At 38.1% G+C, this 26,916-nt stretch overlaps 1 long non-coding RNA gene across 8 annotated transcripts; it reads left to right on the top strand.

Annotated features, from left to right (window-relative positions):
- Positions 1-1,418: 1,418 nt before the first annotated feature.
- Positions 1,419-21,893, top strand: LOC105375566 (uncharacterized). 8 transcript variants are annotated; one of them, XR_001745423.2, is made up of 4 exons: positions 1,419-1,498; positions 2,680-2,797; positions 4,395-4,585; positions 17,504-19,583. It is a non-coding gene; the product is annotated as an uncharacterized LOC105375566 (long non-coding RNA). The 8 variants fall into 8 exon arrangements; XR_928163.2 differs by lacking the exon at positions 1,419-1,498 and adding an exon at positions 21,853-21,893 and having other exon boundaries at positions 2,351-2,797; positions 17,504-18,628; XR_928162.3 differs by lacking the exon at positions 1,419-1,498 and adding an exon at positions 21,853-21,887 and having other exon boundaries at positions 2,351-2,797; positions 17,504-18,637.
- The last annotated feature ends 5,023 nt before the right edge of the window (positions 21,894-26,916 follow it).

Raw genomic sequence — 26,916 nt, 5'->3', positions numbered from 1 at the left:
GCCCATAGTGCACATGCTCTTTTTTTCTCCTTTTCTTTCTCACTCTCCTAACTCTCTCACTTGTGATCTCCAGGATCCAAAATAAATTATGTGTATCCACATCCTTGCCATAGTCTGCTTTGGGGAAATCTAAACTAAGGCAGGCCTCAAATCTACATGTGAGCTATAATGCCGACAGTTTCTCAGGAGAGTCTTTCCTTTCTATCCAGAACCAAGGTAGTGCCCTTGCCGCAGTTTGTTATGGGCAAAATTCTTTTGGGTTTATTTTTCTCTTGAAAATATAATTTTTTTTTTTTTGAGACAGAGTCTCACTCTGTCACCCAGGCTGGAGTATGGCCCACTGCAATCGCACCTCCCAGGTTCAAGTGATTCTCCTGCCTCAGCCTCCCGAGTAGCTGGGATTACAGGTGCCCACTACCACACCCGGCTAATTTTTGTATTTTTAGTAGAGACGGGATTTCACCATGTTGGCCAGGCTGATCTCAAACTCCTGACCTCAAGTGATCCGCCCGCCTCAGCCTCCCAAAGTGCTGGGATTACAGGCGTGAGCCACCGTGCCCAGCCAGAAAATAGAATAATTTGAACATCCTGGTTTCATATAAGCACCTAAATCTGTTTTCCACCTGTGTTGGCACTCAGTTTTTCTTCTGTCCTCTATGTAGCCATGAAAACTCAAGTTTTTAACAAGTTAACAGAAATTGACAGTTGCTCTGAATGAATTTACAAAAATTTAAAATAACTATTTGTGTCCAGAATTTTCTGCTTTTTTGTAGTGAGTATTTTTTAAGGCTTTTGGGCTACTGCATTGCTAAAAAATGAATACTTGAGTTACATTAGATCTTATTGATTTCTAATTTAATGACATTATTATGTTTTAGATGATTTAGGCCTCCAGACTTCCATATTTTTAGATATGGAAGCCCAAGTCTGTCTTGAAAGTAACAGCTCTGGTGGCTGGCTGTTTTCTTCTTCACCAAACATGTTCTCAGTCAGGACAGAAAACTGCCAAGCCTGGCGCTTCTGGAACTTCATCCTACTGTCTAGTCTTTTGTGCCCTCATCACATGCCTGTTCCTGAAGCCCAGGAACAGAGAGAAGCTCCTCTGGATCAGGTTCGTGAGCCTGGGGAGCAGCATCTTATGATTTTGTTTCACTCATTTGCTGATCTCTTCCGCAGCCCAGAAAATTTCCTTGTGAAGTTAACAAAATCTGGGAGGCTGCATTCAGAAAAGATGACATGCACACTGGCTGGTGGTTGTGGAGATGAGGATGGGAGGGTGCATGAGTGGCTTCAATGGGTTAGTGAGTCAGAGAAGGGTCTGTATGGTCACTGACGTGGGGCTACTTGAGATGTCCAGGGGGCCTCCCACATCCTAACCCTGAACCAGTTGTATGTCAGTGTTTGTGGTCCTAGGAGTCAGATGCAGGGACATGTGGCCATGCTGAGGCTGCAGGAGCCAGGAACCCCAGGAGATGGGCCTTGCCCTTCTTCAGCAAAGGTAGGGCTAGATGCCTCTTGTTACAGTTCCTTCTAGAGCATTTTGTAACTGGGAATGTGTGGAATTGGGGGTGGGTGGGTGAGAAGGATGAATCCTGACTACTGAGCTAGGGATAAAGGGCAAAGGACACTGAGCAGGCTCTTGTAATAATCCAGGCAAGCACTGATGTGCTTTGGACCATGATGGTGGCAGTGGAAGTAGCAAGAAGTGATTGGATTCTCAATATATTTGGGCAGCAGAACTTACAGGGTTCCCAAACAGGATGAATGTGGGTTGTAAGAAAAGAAGGGGAGCAAAGGACAGCTTCCAAGTTTTTGTTTCAAAGTATTGTTAATTACCAAGACATGGAAGACTATGGAGGGAACATTTTTAAATGACAGAAAACAGGAGTTCAATTTGGGGCATGTTAAATATGAGAGGATTTTTAGAGATCAGGTTGAGATGTTGAGAAGGCATTTGGACATGTTAGCCTGGAGTTTAGGAGCATTTGGTATATATAAACTTGGAAGTCAGCAATAAATTGTAATGGCAAACAAATCCTCCTGCCTTGTATACACAAGAGAGATATTAGGGGGAGTTGGGAGGACAGCTTCTAAATATTTGTTGGATGAATCAATAAATGGAATGAATTATTTTTTCCAGCTGTACATGGAGTTTGTTTAAGCCGTTTGTATTGAACAGTTTGCAATGTGATCAACAGGACATATTTGGGGAATAATCGAGTAGGCCAGTGGTTCTTGGTGTGAGCTGGGAGAACTTTTGCAATTGGAGATGTTGTGAAATCCTCTAGGGACTTTCTCAAGTTACACCACCATTCTTGGTTGAAATTGTTGTGGTGGGGAAATTTTTTTTGAGAACCATCGAGTTAGTGCTAGCATAGAATCTAACAAGAAATGGCCCTGCATCCATTCTCTTTTCTTCTAATAACAGCCCCAGATTTCCATTTTTGGACCTACCTTTTCCTTTTTATCAGGCTAAGTGTTCATGGTGGGGCTCTGTCCTTAGTTCCAGGGATAAAGCCTGTGACCCAAACTTAAACCGCAGATCATTTTCCCCAGGCCATGGAGATTGTTTCAAATGTGGGCACATGGCCTGAATGGGTCATATCAGAGTAAATCTTAGGGCTTCTGGGTTATGCCACCATCACAGGCTCTTGCTTTCCTCACTGAACTTGAACCTAGACGGATGTAAGCTGGAGCTGTGGCAGCCATCATTGCCCTGTGAAAAGTCCACTTGGAGCTGCCAAAGACCACCCCAGGAGCTTCAGAATGAAGACAACCTGGAAGTCAGAGCTGACAGGTGAGAAACAACAAACAACTCACACCTGATTGTATTGCTTGAATTCTGAATTCAGCAGTGCTTGAAGCCAGATTGAGTCCTGACCATTTTAGTATACGATCATTAAGCAATCTTTTGCTTACGACATGTGCGGTTGAAAGAGTCCCAATTATAATAGGCTGAGAGACTAGGTATAGTAACTAGCACTTAAGTGGGTTGTCTAGGCTGTAGGCCCCAGATATTTAGGAGCTGCACTCAGAGGCTCCTGAGCAAGGTATGTGTCTGGGGTGACCCCAAGTGCACTTGCCAATCTGAACTGTGAGGAAATACCATGTAATGGGGGAGAGGAGAGTGTGGCAGGCATTCAGATACTTTGGGGAAACTCACTTCAAGCAAGTGTTCTGTTCCTTAAAAAGCTGCATATAAACTCAAGTTTTGCAAATGTATATGTACATTTATATATACATATACATAAAATGTATATGTACATTTATATATACATATACATAAAATGTATATGTACATTTATATATACATATACATAAAATGTATATGTACATTTATATATACATATACATAAAATGTATATGTACATTTATATATACATATACATAAAATGTATATGTACATTTATATATACATATACATAAAATGTATATGTACATTTATATATACATATACATAAAATGTATATGTACATTTATATATACATATACATAAAATGTATATGTACATTTATATATACATATACATAAAATGTATAGTTTATTTGTCTTAGATAATTCACTCTGTAGACAAAATCCAGGTGGAGTAACAGTGCCTGTGAACACTGGATCCCCAAGAGTCTATCTTAATGTCGGTGCTAGAGAAACAGAATCAAATCAGAATTCTAGATCCCATTTACGTCTTAATACCTGCACTCTGCAGCTGAAAAAAGCATGAAGAGGCTATTTATGTACTCATCTCATTAAAAAATAAAAGCAAGGCTGGGCGCGGTGGCTCACACCTGTAATCCCAGCACTTTGGGAGGCTGAGACGGGTGGATCATGAGGTCAGGAGTTTGAGACCAGCCTGACCAACATGGTGAAACCTGTCTCTACTAAGAATACAAAAATTAGCTGGGCGTGGTGGCGCACACCTGTAATCCCAGCTACCCAGGAGGCTGAGGCAGGAGAATCGCTTGAACCTGGGAGGTGGAGGTTGCAGTGAGCTGAGATTGTGCCACTGCACTCTAGCCTGGGTGACAGGGCAAGACTCCATCTAAAAAAAAAAAAAAAAGCAAACACAACTCAGTGAACTCAGTGTGTAGAGTGTGCTATGATTTATTTTAAAAGTGCGGGTAGTGGTGGTGGGGAACAGTATGGACATTTCTGCTGTAACATTTATATATTGCTGAAAAATCTTGCATTCCTTAAATATTTCATGTTAAAAACAACAGACTTATGAGAGAGTTATGGTTGGATCACGTTGTTGAAAATTAGTGCTTTGTGAAGAGCGCTAACAAAAGCAAAAAACCAGTCTTAATACAGATATTAGTACAATGAGAAGACAAGTTAAATTTCTTATAAATGTAGAAACACTGTAATAAAAAAGAAAAAAGAAACCTCTTTACTTTTAGAAATAAGGTGAAGTTAGCTTGAGGAAAGAGCTGTAAGGAAGAGTGAAGTCAGCTGAGTCAAGGACACAAGCGGAAAATGTGCAAAGATGAGCCAGAAGCATGGAAAAGTACCTCCAAGACAGAGGAGAACTGATCCAAGAGAAAGGAGATGGGAGTGGGCATCACGTACAGCCAGAGGGCGCCACCTGCCGGTAAGAGCTGAATAGTGAACTTCGTGTTTCTTGGGATAAAACATTGTATAATACACAGTACTGGGAAGAAAATCATATACGCACTAATGTGCCTCTACGTTATACCGCCGTCATTCCCCTAATTTATCACCCCCTTATGAGTAAATTCGGGTTACAAAAACTTGTGTAACATAACATTGTATATATTCTTTGCAATGTATGCAAATACACACAAATATGTAAATATATGTTTATTTGTTTGTATACGCGTAGGATAGTTTCAGATGGAAACACCCAAAGTAGCAACACTGACTGCCTCTAGGGGGGGAAACCGAGCATCTAGAAGGTGAGGTGTGTGTGGGTGTACTTTTGAGGTGTTGCCCACCTGTATGTTTTGAATATTCTCTAATCAAAAAAAAAATTTAAATAGAATCATTAAAATTTTTTAAAACTGAAGACTTCCCCTGGATCCTTTCCATCATCTTTAACTAGAACCATTCTGGCTTTATGACTAAACCTATCTGCTTTGGTCATTTACTTCTTTAAAACGAGACAACCATGTGACATCCTAGGATCCATCGAATGACCTGGTTCACAAGAGAAGCCAGAGTGCAGTCAGGACAAGGCAAACAGCCCTTTACTGGAAGAATTGGGCAATCTATCTGGTGAGAGGTAAGTTTAAATAGGGCAGTGACACTGCACAACAAAGTCCCATTTTTTGGACTTTATGGGGGTTGAAAACCCTGCCTGACAGACTCAGAGTCCTTAACCAGACTGCCCCAGCGGGGAGAAGGGTACCAGGAGGGTTTCCACGAGGGCAGAGGCAGCAGGTGTCTGACTACCTACTCCATTTGCAAGGACGAATGGAAAGCCAGGGCTCACCACACAGGTGAACAGTAGAAGACTGCATGAGCCGATGGAAAAACAGACCCTAAGAGCAGCAGAAGAGGAGAAAGTCCAAATAACATCTTCAGTGAGATTAAGACTATAGTTTATGGCAGTCTCGTGCATCTATCAACAATAAGAACATGCTATATAGAGAGACAATTAGAAGACAAGAGTTACCTAGAGATTGAAAATATAATTGCTGAAGTTAAAAAACCCTTTATTGGCCGGGCGCAGTGGCTCACACCTGTAATCCTAGCACTTTGGGAGGCTGAGGCAGGCAGGTCACTTGAGCCCAGGAGTTCAAGACCAGCCTGGACAACACAGGGAGACCCTGTCTCTACAAAAAAATTGCAAAGATTAGCCGAGCATGGTGGCATGCACTTGTAGCTTGGGACTACATCCTAGCTACGTGGGAGGCATAGATGGGAGGATCACCTGGGCCCGGGAAGTGTGAGGCTGCAGTGAGCTGTGATTGCACCACTGTACTCCAGTCTGGGCAACAGAGTGAGATTCTGTCTCAAAAAACAAAAAAACAAACAAACAAAAAAACAAAACAAACAACAAAAACCACCTAAACTAAACTCCCCCCAAAAACCCTTTACTTAGAAAATGATGAAAAAGAGAAAGTGGCATAAAATATTAGTGAAAAGTTAACAATTCAAGAGGGCCATCTGAGATTGGACATCCACTGGCAGGCATCTCTGAGTGAGAACAGAAGAAAGAGGAAATATGAAGGCATGGGAAGGGAGCTGCACAGAGTTAAGGAAGACTTTGGTTTGCAGAGCGAAAAGGATTGCCTAATGGAAGCACAATAAGTAGGAAAAAAATACTCACTTAGACTCATATATATGAAGTTCCAGAGCCCCAAGGATAAGAAGACTCCAAAACGCAAACAACAACAGCAGCAATAATAACAACAGCAGCTAGGTCACTTACCAAGGTGTAAGAATCAGATTGGCATCGGACCTAACAGAAGCTGGATAACAAACAGAGCAATGTCCTTAGGATTTTGAGAGAAGATAATTTTGGACTTGAATTTTAAAATTCACTCACTCCAGGTATTACTGCATGAAGGGGTAGAAAAAAATTAAAAATTTAAAAATCGTAAAGAAAACCCCAAATAACTTAGAAATTGGACACATTTACTTAAATTATGCATAAATAAGTTCCCAAATTACATTGCTCTAGTGTGCACCAAGATTATCAATAAATAAATGATTAATCTTTCTTGAATGACTTTAGTAAACATTGGTTATTGTTGCAGCTTTGCATCTGTTCTGCTCCTTCCTGGAACAGGTCCCTGATTTTTCTTTGAAAACATTATTCCTCCCTCCTCCGTCCTTGGGTTTTAAGTGACTCTAACTTAATCCTCCTTGCACCACAGGGACTTGGTATGCTCTATCCCTCGGGCTACAGTGATGGGTTCAGATATGGGTTTGTAATCCAAGGCTGTCCCATAAGACTCAGTCCTGGGATTTTTTTTTGTAAATTAAAAAAGTTTTTATCGATACATAAAATATGTATTTATGGAGTATATGTAATATTAAATGTATAGAATGTGTAATGTCAAATCAGGCTATTAAGGGTATCCATTACTTGGAGTATTTATCATTTCCATGTGTTGAAAACATTTCAAGTCCTCTTTCCTAGCTATTTTGAAACATACAATACATTATTGTTAACTATAGTCACCTTGCTCTGCTATCGAACATTAGAACTTATTCTTCTATCTAACCGTATATTCGTACCCACTGACCAACCTTTCTTCACCTTCCTGCCCTCCACATCCTTCTCAGCCTCTGGTATCCATCATTCTACCCTCTACTTCCATGTGATCAAATTTTTTGAACTCCCACATATAAGTGAGAACATATGGGCCAGGTGCGGTGGCTCACGCCTATAAACTCAGCAGTTTCGGAGGCGAGGTGGGTAGATCACTAGAGGCTAGGAGTTCGGGACCAGCCTGGCCAACATGGTGAAACCCCATCTCTACTAAAAATACAAAACTAAGCTAGGCATGGTGGCGCGCACCTGTAAACCCACCTACTTAGGTGGCTGAGGCAAAAGAATCACTTGAATCTGGGAGGCGGAGGTTGCAGTGAACCAAGATCATGCCACTACACTCCAGCCTGGGTGACAGAGTGAGATTCTTTCTCAAAAAAAAGAACATGTGATGTTTGTCTTTTTGTGCCTGGCTTGTCTCATTTAAGGTGAATATATATATATATAATATATGTATATGTATATATGTGTATATATAAAATCTTATGGTATATATATGTTATACATACACATGTGTGTATGTATAACATACATATATATACACACACACATATATAAAACATTTTCTTTATCTACTCATCAGTTAATGGGCCCTTAGGTTTGTTTAATATCTTTGCAGTTATGAATTGTGCTGCAATAAACATATATGTGAAAGTGTCTTTTTGATATAATGACTCCTTTTCCTTTGGGTAGATACCCAGTAGTGGGATTGCTAGATTGAATGGTAGATCTACTTTTAGTTCTTTCAGAAATTTCCACATTGTTTTCCATAGAGATTATACGAATTTCCCTTTTTACCACATCCATGCCAACATCTATTGTTTCTTTTCCCCCAACTTTTATTTTAGGATTAGGGGTATGTGTGCAGGTTTGTTGTACAGGTAAATTGTGTGTCATGGGGATTTGGTGTACCGATTATTTTATCACCTATGCAATTAGCATAGTACTCAATAGGTAGTTCTTTGATCCTCACCCTCTTCCCACCCTTCTCCCTCAAGTAGGCCCCAGAGTCTCTTGTTCCCTTCTTTGTGTTCATGTGTGCTCAGTGTTTAGCTCCCACTTGTAAGTGAGAACATGTGGTATTTGGTTTTCTGTTCCCGTGTTAGTTTGCTTAGGATAATGGGCTGAAGCTCCATCCATGTTGCCACAAGGCATGATCTCATTTTTATGACTGCATAGTATTCCATATACAGGTATATATGTAGCAATTTTCTTTATTCAGTCTACCATTGATGGCCATCTAGGTAGATCCCAGGTCTTTGCTATCACAGATATTGCTGCGATGAACGTATGCATGTGTGCGTCTTTATGGTAGGATGATTTATATTCCTTTGGGTATATACTCAGTAATGGGATTGCTGGTTCAAATTGTAGTTCTAAGTTCTTTGAGAAATCACCAAACTGCTTTCCACAGTGGCTGAGCTAATTTACATTTCCATCAGCAGTGTATAAGCATTCCCTTTTCTTAACAACCTCAAGCATCTGTTACTTTTTGATTTTTTTTTTTTTTTTTTTTTTTTGGTGAGATGGAGTCTCCCACTGTCACCCGGAGTGGAGTGCAGTGGCGCGATCTTGGCTCACTGCAACCTTCGCCTCCCAGGTTCAAACGATTCTCCTGCCTCAGCCTCCCAAGTAGCTGGGATTATAGGCATCTGCCACCATGCCCAGCTGATTTTTTGTATTTTTAGTAGAGATGGGGTTTCACTATGTTGGCCAGGCTGGTCTCAAACTCCTGACCTCATGATCTACCCCCCTCGGCCTCCCAAACTTTTTGACTTTTAATGATAGCCATTCTGACTGGTGTGAGATGGTATCTCATTGTGGGTTTGATTTGCATTTCTCTAATGATTAGTAATGTTCATTTTTTCATAAGCTTGTTGGCCATGTATATGACTTCTTTTGAGAAGTGTCTGTTCATGTCCTTTGCCCATTTTTAAAAGGGTTTTTGCTTGTTAATTTGTTTAAGTTCCTTATAGGTTCTGGTTATTAGACCTTTGTTGGACACATAGTTTGCAAATATTTTCTCTCATTCTGTAGGTTGTTTGTTTACTGTGTTGGTAGTTTCTTTTGCTGTGCAGAGGCTCTTTAGTTTAATTAGGTCCCATTTGTCAATTTTTGTTTTTGTTGCAATTGCTTTTGTTATCTTTGTCATGAAATCTTTGGCAGGGCCTATGTCTAGAATGGTATTCCCTAGGTTTTCTTTTAGGATTTTGTAGTTTTGGTTTTACATTTAAGTCTTCAATCCACCTTGAGTTGATTTTTGTATATGGTGAAATGAAGAGGTCCGGTTTCAATCTTCTGCATATGGGTAGCCAGTTATCCCAGCACCATTTATTGACTAGGATGTCTTTTCCCCATTACTTGTTTCTGTTGACTTTGTTGAAGATCAGATGGTTGTAGGTGTGTGGCTTTATTTCTGGGCTCTCTATTCTGTTCCATTGGTCTATATGTCTGTTTCTGTACCACACCGTGCTGTTTTTTGTTACTGTAGCTCTCTAGGAAAGTTTGAAGTCAGGTAATGTAATGCCTCCAGCTTTGTTCTTTTTGCTTAGGATTGCTTTGACTATTTGGGCTCTTTCTTGGATCCATATGAATTTTAGAATTGTTTCTTCTAATTCTTTAAAAAGGTAATTTGTAGTGTGATAGGAATAGCATTGAATCTGTAAATTGATTTGGGCAGTATGGCCATTTTAACAATATTGATTCTTCCTATCTATGAGCATGAAATGTTTTTTCATCTGTTTGTGTCATCTCTAAATTCTTTGAGCATTGTTTTGTAATTCTCATTGTAGAGATCTTTCGCCTCACTGGGGTTGAGAATTACAAAACTCTCCTTGGTTAGGGAGGTGAAAGATATTTTACTGAAAGAGATTTGAAAATGCCTAGGTATTTTATTTTTTTCTGTGTGCGTGGCTATTACGAATGGGCTTGCATTCTTGATTTGACTCTCAGCTTGGACGTTGTTTGTGTATAGAAATGCTACTAATTTTTGTACATTGAGTTTTTATCCTGAAACTTTCTTAAAGTTGTTTGTCTTGAATCTGTAAGAGCTTTTGGGCAGAGACTATGAGGTTTTCTACATATAAAATCATATTGTCTGAAAACAGAGATAGTTTGACTTCCTCTCTTCCTATTTGAATGCTTTTTATTTCTTTCTCTTGCCTGATTGCTCTGGCTAGTACTTCCAGTACCATATTGAATAGGAGTGGTGAGAGTGGTCATCCTTGTCTTATTCCAGTTTTCAGTGGGAGAGAGAGGGAGAATTCAGAGGGAGAGAGAGACAGAGTGGGAGAGAGAGAATCATATTTAAAGTGTACGATTTAATAAGTTTTGACACATATCCATTGGCCCCCCCCAAAATATCCTCATGACCCTTGTCAGTCCTTCCTCCTGACACTTCTCACCCCCATCCCCGGGCAGCCACTGACTTGCTTTTTGTCACTATAGAATAGTGAGCATTTTCTAGAGTAAGTGGAATCACACCATATATACTATATGTACTCCTTTTGTTTGACTTTTTCCACTGAGCATAATAATTTTGAGGTTCACCCATGTTGTGTGAATCAGTAGCTCATATCTTTTTATTGAGAAGTCATATTCCATTGTATAGATATGCTACAGTTAGTTTATCCATTCACCTGTTGATAGATATTTTGTTTATTCCCAACTTTTGCCTATTGCAGATAAAGCTTTATGAATGATCAGGTATAAGACATTTATGAACACATGATTTCTTTTCTCTTAGGAATATACCTAGGAGTGGAATGCCTGAGTCATATTATGGGTGTGTAAGATTACTTTTTAAGAAACTGGCCAATTGTTTTCTAAAGTCATTGCACCACTTTTTTTTTTTTTTTGAGATGCAGTTTTGCTCTTGTTGCCCAGGCTGGAGTGTACTGGTGTGATCTCAGCTCACTGCAACCTCCGCCTCCTGGGTTCAAGCAATTCTCCTGCCTCAGTCTCCTGAGAAACTGGGATTATAGGCGCCTGCCACCACACCTGGCTAATTTTTTTTTTTTGTATTTTTAGTGGAGACAGCATTTCGCCATGTTGGCCAGGCTGGTCTTGAACTCCTGGCCTCAGGTGATCTGCCTGTCTTGGCCTCCCAAAGTGCTGGGATTACAGGCGTGAGCCACTGAGCCCGGCCAATTGCACCATTTTATATACCACCAGTCCCTCCACATCTTCACCAACACTCAGTGTGTTCAGTGTATTTAATTTTAGCCATTCTAATAATCCTTTTTAGTGCTGCATAATATTTCCATGATATGAGTATACCAATATGAGTATCCCTACTGATGCACTTTTACCTCTCTTCCTATGTTTTTGCCTCTAGAAACAATTCTGCAAAACCAGACTATACTAACTGGAGCTTTTATTGCCATGAGACGGAGTCTTTGGAATAGGGTTGATGCATTAAAGTGTATAAATATTTTAAAATAAAATAAATCCTATTGAGAGCTTTCTTAAAAGGCTGTAATAATTTACATTTACCAGCAATGCATTAAAGCATCTTTTGCGTTTCTTCCCAACCTCACCACTATTTTTTTTTTTTTTTTTTTTTTTGAGATGGAGTTTTGCTCTTGTTGCCCAGGCTGGAGTGCAATGGCGCGATCTTGGCTCACTGCAACCTCCGCCTCCCGGATTCAAGCGATTCTCCTGCCTCAGCCTCCGGAGTAGCTGGGATTACAGGCATGTGCCACCACACCCGGCCTTTTGTATTTTTAGTCGAGATGGGGTTTCTCCATGTTGGTCAGGCTGATCTCGACCTCCAGACCTCAGCTCACCCCTAATTTTTGTCAATAGTATATAACTTTTTACAATGCTTTCAAGTTGTTTTGATTTTCATTTCCTTCATTATGAAGTGAATTTTTTTCACATGTGTATTGGCCATTGATTGTTCATCTGTGAACAGTCTAAGGATGTTGCACATTTTTATTTTTGTGAGTTTTTTTGGTAACATAGATTTTAAAATTTCATCTTAATTTTTTTTTTTTTCATTAGAGATGAGGTCTCACTCTGTTACCCAAGCTGGATTTCAGTGGTGCAATCAGATCTCACTGCAGCCTACAACTCCTGGGCTCAAGAGAAAAATTTATTTTTTTATCTTTAAATTTGTTTATGGCATCTTTGCCATATTAAACACTTTAAAGCCATCTTTTCTTTTATAACTTCTGGCTTCATGTCTTGGTTAAGAAAGTACATTCAACTCTTGGCTTGTACATATAATCTCCTGTATTTTGTCTTAAGATTTTCATGTTATTTTTTTACAGACACAAATTCAATCCTTCTTGGATTTTATTTTATTTTTTATTTTTTTAGATGGAGTCTTGCTCTGTTGCCAGGCTGGAGTGCAGTGGTGCGATCTCGGCTCACTACAACCTCCGTCTCCCGGGATAAAGCGATTCTCCTGTCTCAGCCTCCCAAGTAGCTGGGACTACAGGCGGGCACCACCACGGTCAGCTAATTTTTGTGTTTTTAGTATAGATGGGGTTTCACCATGTTGGTCAGGATGGTCTCGATCTCTTGACTTCGTGATCCACCTGTCTCAGCCTCCCAAAGTGTTGGGATTACAGTGTGAGTCACTGTGCCCGGCCTCTTGGATTTTTATGTAGTGTGAGGTAGCAGCCCAGCTTTACTTTCTTCTAATTGGAAAGCTGTTTTTTCCTCACCACTTAACTAAATAACCAATTTTCCTCTGCTTTTTCATACATTTATTCCCATTATTAACTAGGATTCATTATGTACTATGTATATTGTCCTACTGATTTATTTGTGTGTTTTATGCCGATGCCAGACTAACTTATGTTCAGGCATTTTTTTTCCGCACAAGGGAGCCTGAAGAAAGCATATCTAATTCCACACACAAAAACAACAGATTTCAATTGGAATTTAATTATGTATATATCCATTTTGGAAGAATGTATATCTTCATAGTGGTAAGTATTTTCATACCAGAACATGGTCTGTTTTTCTGTTTGTTCAGGTCTTGTTTCATGTTTTTCAATATGGTTGAGCTATATTTATAGTTAAGTATATCATGAATATATATATATAAGAGTATATGTACAGCATAAAGCTCAATAAAGCCATACCCAGTTTAAGGAGTAGAGCATTGCCCTTCGAAGCTTCCCATCCCACCTCCATGAGTTCCTCTCCCTGTCGCTAGGGTATTATTACTATCCTCTCTTTTGTGTTAATCATTCACTTTCTTTCTTTTTCTTTTTTTTGAGATAGGGTGTTGCTCCATTGCCTAGGCTGGAGTGCAGTGGTGCAATCATAGCTCACTGCAGCCTTGACCTCCTGGGCTCAAACGATCCTCCCACTTTGGACTTTTGTGTAGCAAGATCACCTTGTGCACCACCTCACCTGGCCAATTTTTTTTTTTTTTTTGTAGAGATAGGGCCTCACTGTTTTGCCCAGGCTGGTCTCGAACTCCTGTCCTCAGGAATCCTTCTGCTCTGGCCTCCCAAAGAGTTTGGATTACAGGCGTGAGTCACCGCGCCCAGCCTTTCCTTGCTTTTCTTTATAGTTTTGTATCACCTATGTCTGTTGCTCTAAACAATATATATTTTTAGTTTTTTTCCACGACTAACCTTGTCAAAAATGGAATCAGATTCTGTATTCTTCTGGGAAAAGAACGGTTCTTCTTTGATTAAACATTATGTATATGATATTTATTCATGTTGATGTAGGTAATTGTGTTTTGTTCATTTTTCCTGCTGAATATCATTCCACTGTGTGGATATTCTATAATTTGCTTATCCAATGCAGTATTGATGAATATTTGGGTTGTTTGTAGCTTTTTACTATCATGAGTCTTCTTACAAAATATCCTTATGCATTCATGTAAGTTTTTCTTTAAGGCAATGGTCTTCAAACTTTTTTACTTCTGTATTCACTAAAGGGATTTTTAAAAATTTAGGTCTTCTCTTGATTTTAAGCTGAACTTCTAAAATTTTTTCATCATGAATATTTGCAAAGGATGTAATTTCTAGCACATTGTAGATATTAACATTTTTAAATGAAATTACTTCAGTGCAAAAATTGAGAAGCCTTGTTCATATAAACGAATCAATAGAAATATAATCAATTCTGTTATGCTAATGCCACTCAATTCTTTGTACTCCTTCCAAAATAAATGCCAAAACCGCATAGTGGTTTCTCATTAATTTTTAATTTCTATTGATGGATATATCTGTCTTCCTTTTTGTTGAAAACAAAATAGTGGAGACTGCTTGACTTGCAGAAGGATTTAATGGCCAGTCATTAGAATCACTTGATTTCTCAATGTCTGGGAAGTATACCAAAAAAGCTTTATCAAGACATACCAAATGACTATAAATTGTATGTCTTACTCTTTCACTGAAAGGTTGAAAAGTATCCCATTTAACCCATTATATCTAAAATATTTGGAAAAATTGAAATATTATGAACTTTGATAAACCTCTGTCAATCTATTTAAAAAAACTTTTTAAGTGGAAAATTCTAAATACATAGAAGTAGAAAAAATAGCGTACTGAACTCAACGTATCTATCATTAGGCATCAACAGTTATACATGGGCAATCTTGTTTCATCTAAACCCCTATCCTTTCCACTCCTAGTTTTTATTATTGTTTTTATTTTTTGAAATAGGGTCTCACTCTGTTACCCAGGTTACGATGCAGTGGCATGATCACAGCTCACTGCGGCCTTGACCCCCGGGCTCAATGGATCCTCCTACTTCAGCCTCCTGAGTAGCTGGGACTACTGGTGCATGCTACTATCTTCCGCTAATGTTTTAAAAAATATTTTGTAGAGATAGGTCTGTGTTGCCCAGGCTGGTATTAACTCCCAGGCTCAAGCCATCCTCCTGCCTTGGCCTCCCAAAATGTGGAGATTAAAGGTGTGAGCCACCATACTCGGCCCCTTTTGACGTTTCTGACAAACTTCCCAAGATTAATTTCTAAATTAAGCCTTTTTTATTGATCTTGAACTAACTTTGGGACTTTTGAGATGGGCTCCTGGAAAATGTGAAAGAATTTCTCTCTCACCTTGTAAAAGAGGGACATTAAACTAATTGGCTTATTTGATATGTTAAATTATGTGGGAAGCACTGTCAAGTAAAAGTGACGTTTAGCTTTCTTTATATTTATATGGGCACATGTTACTAATAAGAGTGTTTCAGAAATAAAATTCTTTAAAATTTGTCAATACCCTTAGCTATTCATCATATGTCTGATATAATGTTATCAATCAGAATTCTACATCTTATTTTACAATGTTGTATGTCACAGAAATAACCAAATTTCCTCATCAATTAGATTGTAAGAAACTCTCATTAGATATTTAAATGTGACTACTTAAAAATCTTTTATAATTTACATGTTATTTTACTGTGATATTTTCCTAAAAGCTTTTGCAAGCCACTATGGTCAAAATTTGTCTTCAAAGAGATCATGGAAAAGACTCCAACAAGTACAGGTTTTTGATAACTTTAAGATCCCACCATTGGCCTGGGTAAGAATTTCCAGAACTCTAATGAAGAAACTGACTGGTTTGTAAAACTGTTAACCCGATGTTGGGCAAAACAAAAATTAATTGGATGGGACTAAATGAACTGATGAAAAAAAATGATGCTTTAAAAAATTACCTTTTTTCAAAACATTGCTCGTTCTTTAATATTTTGTTTTCCAGATCTGAGGAAATGTTTTCTCTTTTATCCTACGCTATCTGTAGTTGACCACAATCTGGTAGATTATGCATTTGTAAACAGAAATAAAGCATTTGATTTTCTCCCTACCTAATCCCTCCAGAATTTGAAAATGATGAGTGAGTATTCTTACATTCATGACCATAGTTGTTTGTATAGGTCCAATAAGAATCTATCTGTTTGTAACAGGACACAATGGAAAACATTGGTTACATTACCAAAGCTTTGGAATGTAATTTTTAGAATGTCATAGAATCAGATATGACTACACAGTTTTAAGAAACTAAGGATGACTTTGTGGGGCGAATAAGGCCCCTTAAAAAACCCCCAGCCTGGTACCTTGCTCACAGAGTTCCTAGCCTTATAGTTGAGTAAAGAAGGTAACTTTCATGCAGGCCCAGGAGCCTTAAAAATATTTTGGAGACCTCGAGAACAGAGGAACTCACCCAAATCTAGAGGTGTTACAGGCAAAATCTAATGACAAGCTCTTGGCTTGGCTTCCTAGACTTGAGAGGCTTTTAGATTCCTTATTAGCAGTTCCAGCAAAGCAGACTTAAAAAGAGCCTATACGATCAATCACTATTCTTGCTGCATTATATAAATAATCAAGACAAGTTTAATGTGACTAGACTTATTTTGTAAAAAAATTAGTCTTACTGTGATTATGTTTGGTAAAAGTGGGAGTGACTGTGGAGAGAAAAATTATATTAACAAAAACTATAGTGTACCCGTTATTGGATTCTAGTACTGTTCATTGTCTTTGAAGTTTTGTTATCTATATGTAGAATGGATTAGATATTAAACTCTAATTTCCTCCCATATCCGGCAACAAATCTTCAGGCTAATGCTTCATGTTTTTCTCCTACTCTCTTGACTTGACATCACTGAAAACTGAAGCTGCCCTTTTCCTGAAATTTTGCAAGCTGAAACTGGATGACTTGATATAAACTTCAGAGAACTCACTACCACAACTAATATATAAGCAACCTTTGTGCCTGTTGCTGTGTAGGCCACTCAGAAAGTCCACTGGAACACCCAATGACCTCACCAGAGACATTCAAACTGCAAATCAGGAAATTGATCAGAATTACCACTGCTTATCTTCACTCTCTATCTAAAGATGCTTTGAGCCCAACCTATAGTACCCTTTACCAACTGATTGCCCTCTGGACTCAAAAGCTGGGCTTATAACTTGCCCTAAACATTAACCTTTATTTTTCTTTTGTTTCCATAGAAATGCCTCTTATTGGGCTGGGCGCGGTGGCTCACGCCTGTAATCCCAGCACTTTGGGAGGCCGAGGCGGGCGGATCACGAGGTCAGGAGATCGAGACCATCCTCGCTAACACAGTGAAACCCCGTCTCTACTAAAAAACACAAAAAAATTAGCCTGGCGTGGTGGCGGGCGCCTGTAGTCCCAGCTACGCGGGAGGCTGAGGCAGGAGAATGGCGTGAACCCGGGAGGCGGAGCTTGCAGTGAGCCGAGATCGCGCCACTGCACTCCAGCCTGGGCGACAGAGCGAGACTCCATCTCAAAAAAAAAAAAAAAAAAAAAAAAAAAAAAAAAAAAAAAAAAGAAATGCCTCTTATTGTTTACATTATGAAGTCTCAACTTGGATGGAAGCCCAACTGCAACACGGCCTCCTAAAATGAGACGCAACTGTTCAACTGAACTGTTCTCAGGACTAAAAGGCTGTGTCAATAAGATACGGGGAATATTTGTTCTTCTGTGTGTTCCGATCCTTGTTTTTCTTTCCCTTCGTTGATCTCTTGTTTCACAACTTCCAACCCAAATCTGCTCACAGCTACTAACTTGGCTTTTAACATATGAAACTTTCTAAAAGTAAAGTTTCAAATGGGGAATGAAGAGGCTCAGAATACACTACCCCAAAACATGTCACTCAGAACACATCATCCCCAAATATGCCACTTTGGCATCAGAATTATTTTAAACTAAAGGCACATAAAAACAGGAGATGCAAGAAGATCACTCTGACCTTCACTGTTCTTTAAAAGCCAGAGATGAAATTCCCATGTGAAAGGTGTTCTCCCTAAACCAAGAAGAAAGTAACATTCTCATCACAAAGGATAGGAAGTTGAGGCTGATAGGAATCTATACAAGCATCCCTTATGTTCCTAATTACTTATTTACCCAGTTATTTACCCTAGCATAAGCCCCTTTGCCTTGTTACATTTTCACAATTCAGGGCATAAATGTTTGACTCTAGCTGCTGCTTTGTGTCTTCATTTCCTTATGAATGCTCTCCTGCCATTAAAAAACTTGCATTAAATAATTTATATACTTTTCTCCTGTTGATTTGTCTTATGTCTATTTAATTCTCCAGGCCCAGGCAACAAACAAACAAACAAGAAAACAAAACAAAAACAAAAAACCCCCAACAACAACAACAACAAAACCATAAAAGAGGAGGGGCAAATTTTTGCCTCCTCTTCTGCATTTTTCACATGCTTTATCCTGTTTTCACTTCTTTACTTTCTGGCACTATAAGGTGTTCCAGGCTCATCTTATATTTATTTTCCCTATCCTAGCCCTGGAATCAGCCACTTCTACACTTCTTGAAGGAGTCCTGGTTCCTTTCATCAGGGAACGGCATTTCGAAATCAAGATCTGAGTGCTGGCTGTGCTCATTGCTACTGGTGTCACTGCTCATAGTCTCCTCTCTCTCAGTGGGCAGAGCTAGGTAATTCATGTATGTATAACTGACCCATATATGCACACATATTATATTTTTGTATCTACTAAAAATAAATCAACCATGAGTTCATACTGATATTTCTAACTCCAGTCCAGCACCAGGATTTATTCTAGCATTATCTCTGCTTATTTGTAACTTCTTTCTGACAATGAGAAAAGTGGATCCCATAGCTTACACTATATTTAATTATTTTTGAGCCCAAGTATACCATAGGTTTAGGGTTGTTTGTGAAAAACGAATTTACCAATGAGAGTTTGTTGCTTCTGTACTGTTCTTCTTGTCTTTGGCCTGACACTCTCCAGTCAAAACATTGCTTTACAAAGGCACTTAGGTCAGCTCGTTTCTTCCCTCCTAACTTCCGTATGGTTATGTTTTTTTATTTGTAATACGGTTAGATTCATTTTAGCAGTCCGCTTTTCATCTTGGATTTCCCCAAGATCTCAGTTGATTTTTTAAAAATTTGTATACAGCAAAGTTTACCCTTTGTGGTGTATAGGTTTATGGGATTGAGAAAGGCATAGAGTCACGTGTACAACAAGACAGTTTAACTCAGAACAATTGGACTGCCCAAAAGTTTCCTAATGAGGCCCTTTAGTGGGGCATCATTTCATAGGACTCCCCCAACTCCAGGCAACCACGGATTTGTTTTCTATTTTTATAATTTTGCTTTTTCCAGAATGCCATATAAATAGAATCATTCAGTATGTAACATTTTGGATTTTCTCTCATTTAGCAAAAAGAATTTCAGATTCATTCATGTGTTGTGGGTTGATACTTTTTATTGCTGAATGGTATCCCATTGTCTGGATATACACAGACTTACTTACCCTTTCATCTGTGAAAGACAGCTGAACTATTTCTAGCTTTGGTAATGAATAAAGCTGCTATAAACATTCAGGGCCAGGCACAGTGGCTCACGCTTATAATCCCAGTACTTTGGGAGGCTGAGGCAAGAGGATCAACTGATGTCAGGGGTTCAAGACCAGCCTGGCAAACATGGCAAAATCCTTTCTCCACTAAACATACAAAAATTCACCTGGCGTGGTGGTGCATGCCTGTAATCCCAGCTACTCGGGAGGCTGAGGCAGGAGAATCACTTGAACCCAGGAGGCGGAGGTTGCAGTGAGCTGAAATAGCATCACTGCACTCCAGCCTGTGAGACTCCATCTCAAAAAAAAAAAAAAAAATCAGGTACAGGTTTTTCTGTCAGCATAAGGTTTCAGTTAACTTAGGTCAATACCTTGGAGTGGGATTGTTGGGTCACATGGTAAGTGCATGTTTAACTTTATAAGAAATTGCAAAACTATTTTCCATTTATAAGAAACTGCTATACTGCCATTCCCCAATGAAAGGAACCAGGACTCCTTAAAGAAGTGTACTTTTGGTGCAAAAGTAATCAGAGTTTTTGCCATTGAAGGTGATGGCATGAGTCAGGATTTCCTTATTTTAAAAGGCTGAATAATATTCCATTGTATGAATATATCATGTTTGTTTATTCATTCATGTGTCAATGGACACTTGGGTTGCTCCCACCTTTTGGCTATTGTGAATAACGCAGCTATGGACACAGTGTACAAATATGTGTTCAAGTCTCTGCTTTCACTTCTTTTGGGTGTATACCCAGAAGTGGAATTGCTGGATCACAGGTAATTATGTTTAATTTTTTTGAGGAATCATCATATCGTTTCCACAGCAGCTGCACCATTTTACACTCCCACCAGCAATGCACAAGAGCTCCAATTTCTCTCACATCCTTGCTGACACTTGCTATTTTTTTTTATTTTTTTGTGTGTGCATGTGTGTTGATAATACCAACCTAATGGGTGTGAAGTGATATTTCATTGTGGTTTTGATTTGCATTTTGTTAATAGCTAGTGATATTGAATATCTTTCATGTGCTTATTGGTCATTTGAATATCTTCTTTGGAGAGAAGTTTATCTTGATAAACCATTTTTTGAGGTTTATTAATTTTTTTAACTTTTATTTTAGATACAGGAGGTACATGTGCAGGTTCGTTACATGGGTATATTGCATGATGCTGAGATTTAGGGTATGGATCCCATCACCTTGGTAGTGAGGATAGTACCCATTAATTTTGTTAACCTTTTCAAGGATCCAGTTTTGAGATTCTATTATTTTTCTCTACTATTTTTTTCTGTTTTTAATTTCATAACTTTGTTCTTATCTTTTCTCCCCTTTCTGCTTGCTTTGGGTTTACGTTACTCTTCTTTCTCTAGTTTATTAAGGTGAATGCAGCAATTAATTTTTTGAGGTTTTTCTTCTTTTCTGGTATAAGCATTTAATGTTATAATTTTTCCTTTAAGCTCTCCTTTAGCTTTCTTCCATAAATTTTGATTTGCTGGCATTTTATATCAACTTATTTAAACATATTTTTAAAATTTGCCTTGAAGTTCTCCTTGAAGAGGTCCTTCACATCCCTTGTAAGTTGGATTCCTAGGTATTTTATTCTCTTTGAAGCAATTGTGAATGGAAGTTCACTCATGATTTGGCTCACTGTTTGTCTGTTATTGGTGTATAAGAATGCTTGTGATTTTTGCACATTGATTTTGTATCCTGAGACTTTGCTGAAGTTGCTTATCAGCTTAAAGAGATTTTGGGCTGAGACGATGGGGTTTTCTAAATGTACAATCATGTCATCTGCAAACAGGGACAATTTGACTTCCTCTTTTCCTAATTGAATACCCTTTATTTCTTTCTCCTGCCTGATTGCCCTGGCCAGAACTTCCAACACTATGTTGAATAAGAGTGGTGAGAGAGGGAGAGAGGGCATCCCTATCTTGTGCCAGTTTTCAAAGGGAATGCTTCCAGTTTTTGCCCATTCAGTATGATATTGGCTGTGGGTTTGTCATAAATAGCTCTTATTATTTTGAGATACATCTCATCAATACCAAATTTATTGAGAGTTTTTAGCATGAAGGTGTTGAATTTTGTCAAAGGCCTTTTCTGCATCTATTGAGACAATCATGTGGTTTTTGTCTTTGGTTCTGTTTATATGGTGGATTATGTTTATTGATTTGAGTATGTTGAACCAGCCTTGCATTCCAGGGATGAAGCCCACTGGATCATGGTGGATAAGCTCTTTGATGTGCTGCTGGATTCAGTTTGCCAGTTTTACTGAGGATTTTTGCATCGATGTTCATCAGGGATATTGGTCTAAAATTCTCTTTTTTTGTTGTGTCTCTGCCAGGCTTTGGTACTCAATGAAATAAAAGAGGGCACAAACAAATGCTCATGGATAGGAAGAATCAGTATCATGAAAGTGGCCATACTGCCCAAGGTAATTTATAGATTCAATGCCATCTCCATCAAGCTACCAATGACTTTCTTCACAGAATTGGAAAAAACTACTTTAAAGTTCATATGGAACCGAAAAAGAGGCCGCATTGCCAAGTCAATCCTAAGCCAAAAGAACAAAGCTGGAGGCACCACGCTACCTGACTTCAAACTATACTACAAGGCTACAGTAACCAAAACAGCATGGTACTTGTACAAAGCAGAGATATAGACCAATGGAACAGAACAGAGTCCTCACAAATAATATCACATCTACAACCATCTGATCTTTGACAAACCTGACAAAAACAAGCAATGGGGAAAGGATTCCCTATTTAATAAATGGTGCTGGGAAAACTGGCTAGCCATATGTAGAAAGCTGAAACTGGATCCCTTCCTTACACCTTATACAAAAATTAATTCAAGATGGATTAAAGACTTACATGTTAGACCTAAAACCATAAAAACCCTAGAAGAAAACCTAGGCAATACCATTCAGTACATAGGCATGGGCAAGGATTTCATGTCTAAAACACCAAAAGCAATGGCAACAGAAGCCAAAATTGACAAATGGGGTCTAATTAAACTAAAGAGCTTCTGCACAGCAAAAGAAACTACCATCAGAGTGAACAGGCAACCTATAGAATGGGAGAAAATTTTTGCAATCTACTCATCTGACAAAGGGCTAATATCCAGAATCTACAAAGAACTCAAACAAATTTACAAGAAAAAAACAAACAACCCCATCAAAAAGTGGGTGAAGGATATGAACAGACACTTCTCAAAAGAAGACATTTATGCAGCTGACAGACACATAAAAAAATGCTCATCATCACTGGTCATCAGAGAAATGCATATCAAAACCACAATGAGATACCATCTCACACCAGTTAGAAAGGCGATCATTAAAAAGTCAGGAAACAACAGGTGCTGGAGAGGATGTGGAGAAATAGGAACACTTTTACACTGTTGGTGGGACTGTAAACTAGTTCAACCATTGTGGAAGACAGTGTGGTGATTCCTCAGGGATCTAGAACTAGAAATACCATTTGACCCAGTCATCCCATTACTGGTTATATACCCAAAGGATTATAAAGCATGCTACTATAAAGACACATGCACACGTATGTTTATCGCGGCACTATTCACAACAGCAAACACTTGGAACCAACCGGAATGTTCATCTATGATAGACTGGATTAAGAAAATGTGGCACATATACACCATGGAATACTATGCAGCCATAAAAAAGGATGCGTTCATGTCCTTTGCAGGGACATGGATGATGCTGGAAACCATCATTCTCAGCAAACTATCGCAAAGACAAAAAACCAAACACTGCATGTTCTCACTCATAGGTGGGAATTGAACAATGAGAACAGTTGGACACAGGAAGGGGAACATCACACACCAGGGCCTGTTGTGGGGTGGGAGGAGGGGAGAGGGATAGCATTAGGAGATATACCTAATGTAAATGACGAGTTAATGGGTGTAGCACACCAACATGGCACATGTATACATATATAACAAACCTGCACGTTGTGCACACGTACCCTAGAACTTAAAGTATAATAAAATGAAATTTGCCTTGAGGTTTCTTGTACCCAAGGGTTATTTTCAAGTATGTGTTTAATTTTCAAATCTTTGGACAATTTCTAGATTCTTTCTGTTATTTATTTTGAATTTAATTCCATTTTGGTGTAAAAATATACTTTATGTAATTTCTATTGTTTTAGATTTGTTAAGGTTTGTTTCATGGCTCAGAATATGGTCTATTTTGGTGAATGCTCCATGTGCATTTGAGAAGAATGTGTGTTCTGTTGTTGATCGAAGTATGCTATAGGTCAAGTGTCAATAGGTCAATAGTGTCATTAGGTCAATAGTGTCAATAGGTCAAATTGGTTGATAGTGGTCAAGTCATCTACATACTTAATGATCTTCTAGCTACTTGTTCTATCCATTACTGAGAGAGATGTGTTAAAATCTCCAACTGTAATGTAGATATTCATCTATATCAGCTTTTGGTTCTTTCAATTTTTCTTTAAGAGTTTTGAAGCTCTTTTGTTAAGTTCATATACATTTAGGATTGTTATGTTACTTTGGTAAATTGGCATTTTTATCATTATGTAGTATTTCTTTTTACCTTTGATAATACTCTTTGTTCTGAAGTTTTAAAAAATTTTTATTTATTTTTATTTTTTATTTTTTTAAAATTTCACCTTTTTCTTCATCATTCAACTTGATAAAGCTTCTTTTTTTTTTAACATGAATATAGCTATTCCAGCTTTCTTTTGGATATTGTTTGATGGTATACATTTTTAATATTCTTTTATTTGTAACATATTTATGTCTTTGTTTTTAAAGTGACTTTTTCTTAAGGCAGCATATACATAGGTCTTGTTTTTAAATCATATCTGGAAATTTCTGTCTTTTAATTGGTATATTTTGATCATTCACATTTCGTGTTATTATATAACTGAATTAAAATCTACCATTTTCTTAGCTATTTTTTATTTAATCCATCTGTCCTTTATTTTTTCCTGCCTTCTCTTGAGGTAATTGAGCATTTACTGGAATTATGATTCTATTTCATCTCCTCTATTGACTTATTATTTGTTCACCCTTTAAAAAAAGTTTAGTCCTTGGTACAGGAGTTATATGTTTTTAATTAATTAGAGTGTATCATTAAATAACATTGTATATATTCACAGATAGTTTAAGGCCTCAAATTATCATAGTCCCACTTCTCTGCTATTACATATATTATACATATTATATACAATTATTAGCCTATAGATCTCTATATTATTAGATATTAATATCTGTATTCTATCATCTATCTATCTATCTATGAATCTATCTATCTATCTATCTATCTATCTATCTATCTATCTATCTATCTATCTATCCATCCATCCTGGGAATTAACTGAGAGATACAGATAAGCCAAAGCAGGCTTAAAACAAAACAAGGGCCGGGTGCGGTGGATCATGTCTGTAATCCCAGCACTTTGGGAGGCCAAGGCGGGCAGATCACGAGGTCAGGAGATCAAGATCATCCTGGCCAACATGGTGAAACCCCGTCTCCACTAAAAATACAAAAATTAGCTGGGTGTGGTGGCGCCTACCTACTCGGGAGGCTGAGGCAGGAGAATTGCTTGAACCTGGGAGGCAGAGGTTGCAGTGAGCCAAGATAGTGCCACTGCACTCCAGCCTGGTGACAGAGCGAGACTCCGTCTCAAAAACAAAACAACAAACAAACAAACAAAAAACAAAAAGTAGCTAGATAAAGAAAATATTGTTAGGTGAATCATGAAAAATAAAAGCATTTATTACGAACCATAAAAGTCGTACAGAGTAGCAGTATAAAAGATGATCTACATCTTGGGTTAATATAAGGCTTTTGTTATATAAGACTCACTTCACACCTTCATATTATTCATATAATTTTAATCTAATGACAACTTAGTTATCTTGGCTGTCTCTCCAATGTGTTGTATAATAAGTTCTTATAGGGTAAGGAGTTTACCGTGTGCAAGTGACCCTTGTTCTTCCCTCCTACCCCTCTCCTCCCTGTTTTCCTCTTCCCCTCTTTCCCACTCTCTCCTCTTCTCATCCCTTCTCAACTCCTCTCTCCCTATCCCACCTTCTTTTACTCACTCTTTCCTCATCTTATCTTCTTTAATCTCCCCCTTTTTAAAATTAATAGGTTTTGTTTTAAAAAGCAGTTTGAGGTTTACAGAAAAATGGGAATGATAAATACTGAGAGTTCCCCTATACTCCTCACCGTCTGCCCTAGCAATTCCCCCTATTAGTAACATCTTGCATTAGTGTGATACATTTGTTGTAATTGATGGGCCAATATTGATAAATTATTATTAATTAAAGTTCATAGTTTACATTAAGATTCAGCCTTGGTGTTGTATATTCTATGGACTTTGATGAATGTGTAGTGACATGTATCTACCATTATAGTATCACACAGAATAGTTTCACTACCCTAACAATTCCCTATATTCCACCTATCCATCTCTCCCTCCATCACCTGGAACCGCCAGCAACCACTGATTGGTTTACTGTCTCCATCATTTTGCCTTTTACAGAATACCATTTAGTTGGAATCATACAGTATATAGCCTTTTCAGATTGGCTTAGTTCACTTAGCAATATGCATGTAAGTTTTCTTTATGCTTTCTCATGACTTGTTAGCCCAGTTACTTTTTGAATGAATAAGATTCCATGGTCTAGATGTGCTACACTTTATTTATCCATCCACCTATTGAAAGATATCTTGGTTGTTTCTAAGTTTTGACAATTATGAATAAAGCTGCTATAAACCTTTGTGTGCAGATTTTTGTGTGGACATAAGTAATATATTTTTAAATAATGGGACAAAAAAGGAGAGCTTTCTAAGAATGACAGCGCCATAAAGAAAACATTTGTTCAAATTTCCAGACAGCAAAAAACTCACCATAGCAAACTTAAGAGACAAACAGCAGGGGGTGGTATTTGCAAGATATGTGACCACAGTTGACAGTTCTATTTTACTTAGCACACTGTGAACTTAAAGGAGATAAGATTCTCAAACTCTTTGACTATTTTATTTTATTACCTGCATGTCTGTGGTAGGAGAGAGACATATCAGTGATTCCCTTTAGATTTGTCCAAAAAATCTTATAAGAATTTAGTCCTGTTAGGAATTACCAGATTTCTATTTACATCTCACTGTTAGGAAAACACATTTTGAAATGAAACCACCATAATTCTACAGACTTTTAGAGAGGGAAAGTTATAACTGTTATTATATGAAAAGTGAACATTACAATATTAATATGAGAGAATATTTTGGAAGTCAAATCTGGCTTTCATTGCAAAGTGCGAACTGTATATGTTATCTGCGTTAGAACCGCCCTCCTCTCCAAACTAAATCAAAGAATCAGGAGTCACCTGTATCTCACTCTCTGGCTTATAATTTCTTT

The sequence above is a fragment of the Homo sapiens genome, chromosome 7, assembly GCF_000001405.40.
Source record: "Homo sapiens chromosome 7, GRCh38.p14 Primary Assembly".
Classification (NCBI taxonomy): domain Eukaryota; kingdom Metazoa; phylum Chordata; class Mammalia; order Primates; family Hominidae; genus Homo; species Homo sapiens.
Note: the sequence above shows the minus strand (reverse complement) of the source record. Positions and strands in the feature narration are given on the sequence as shown.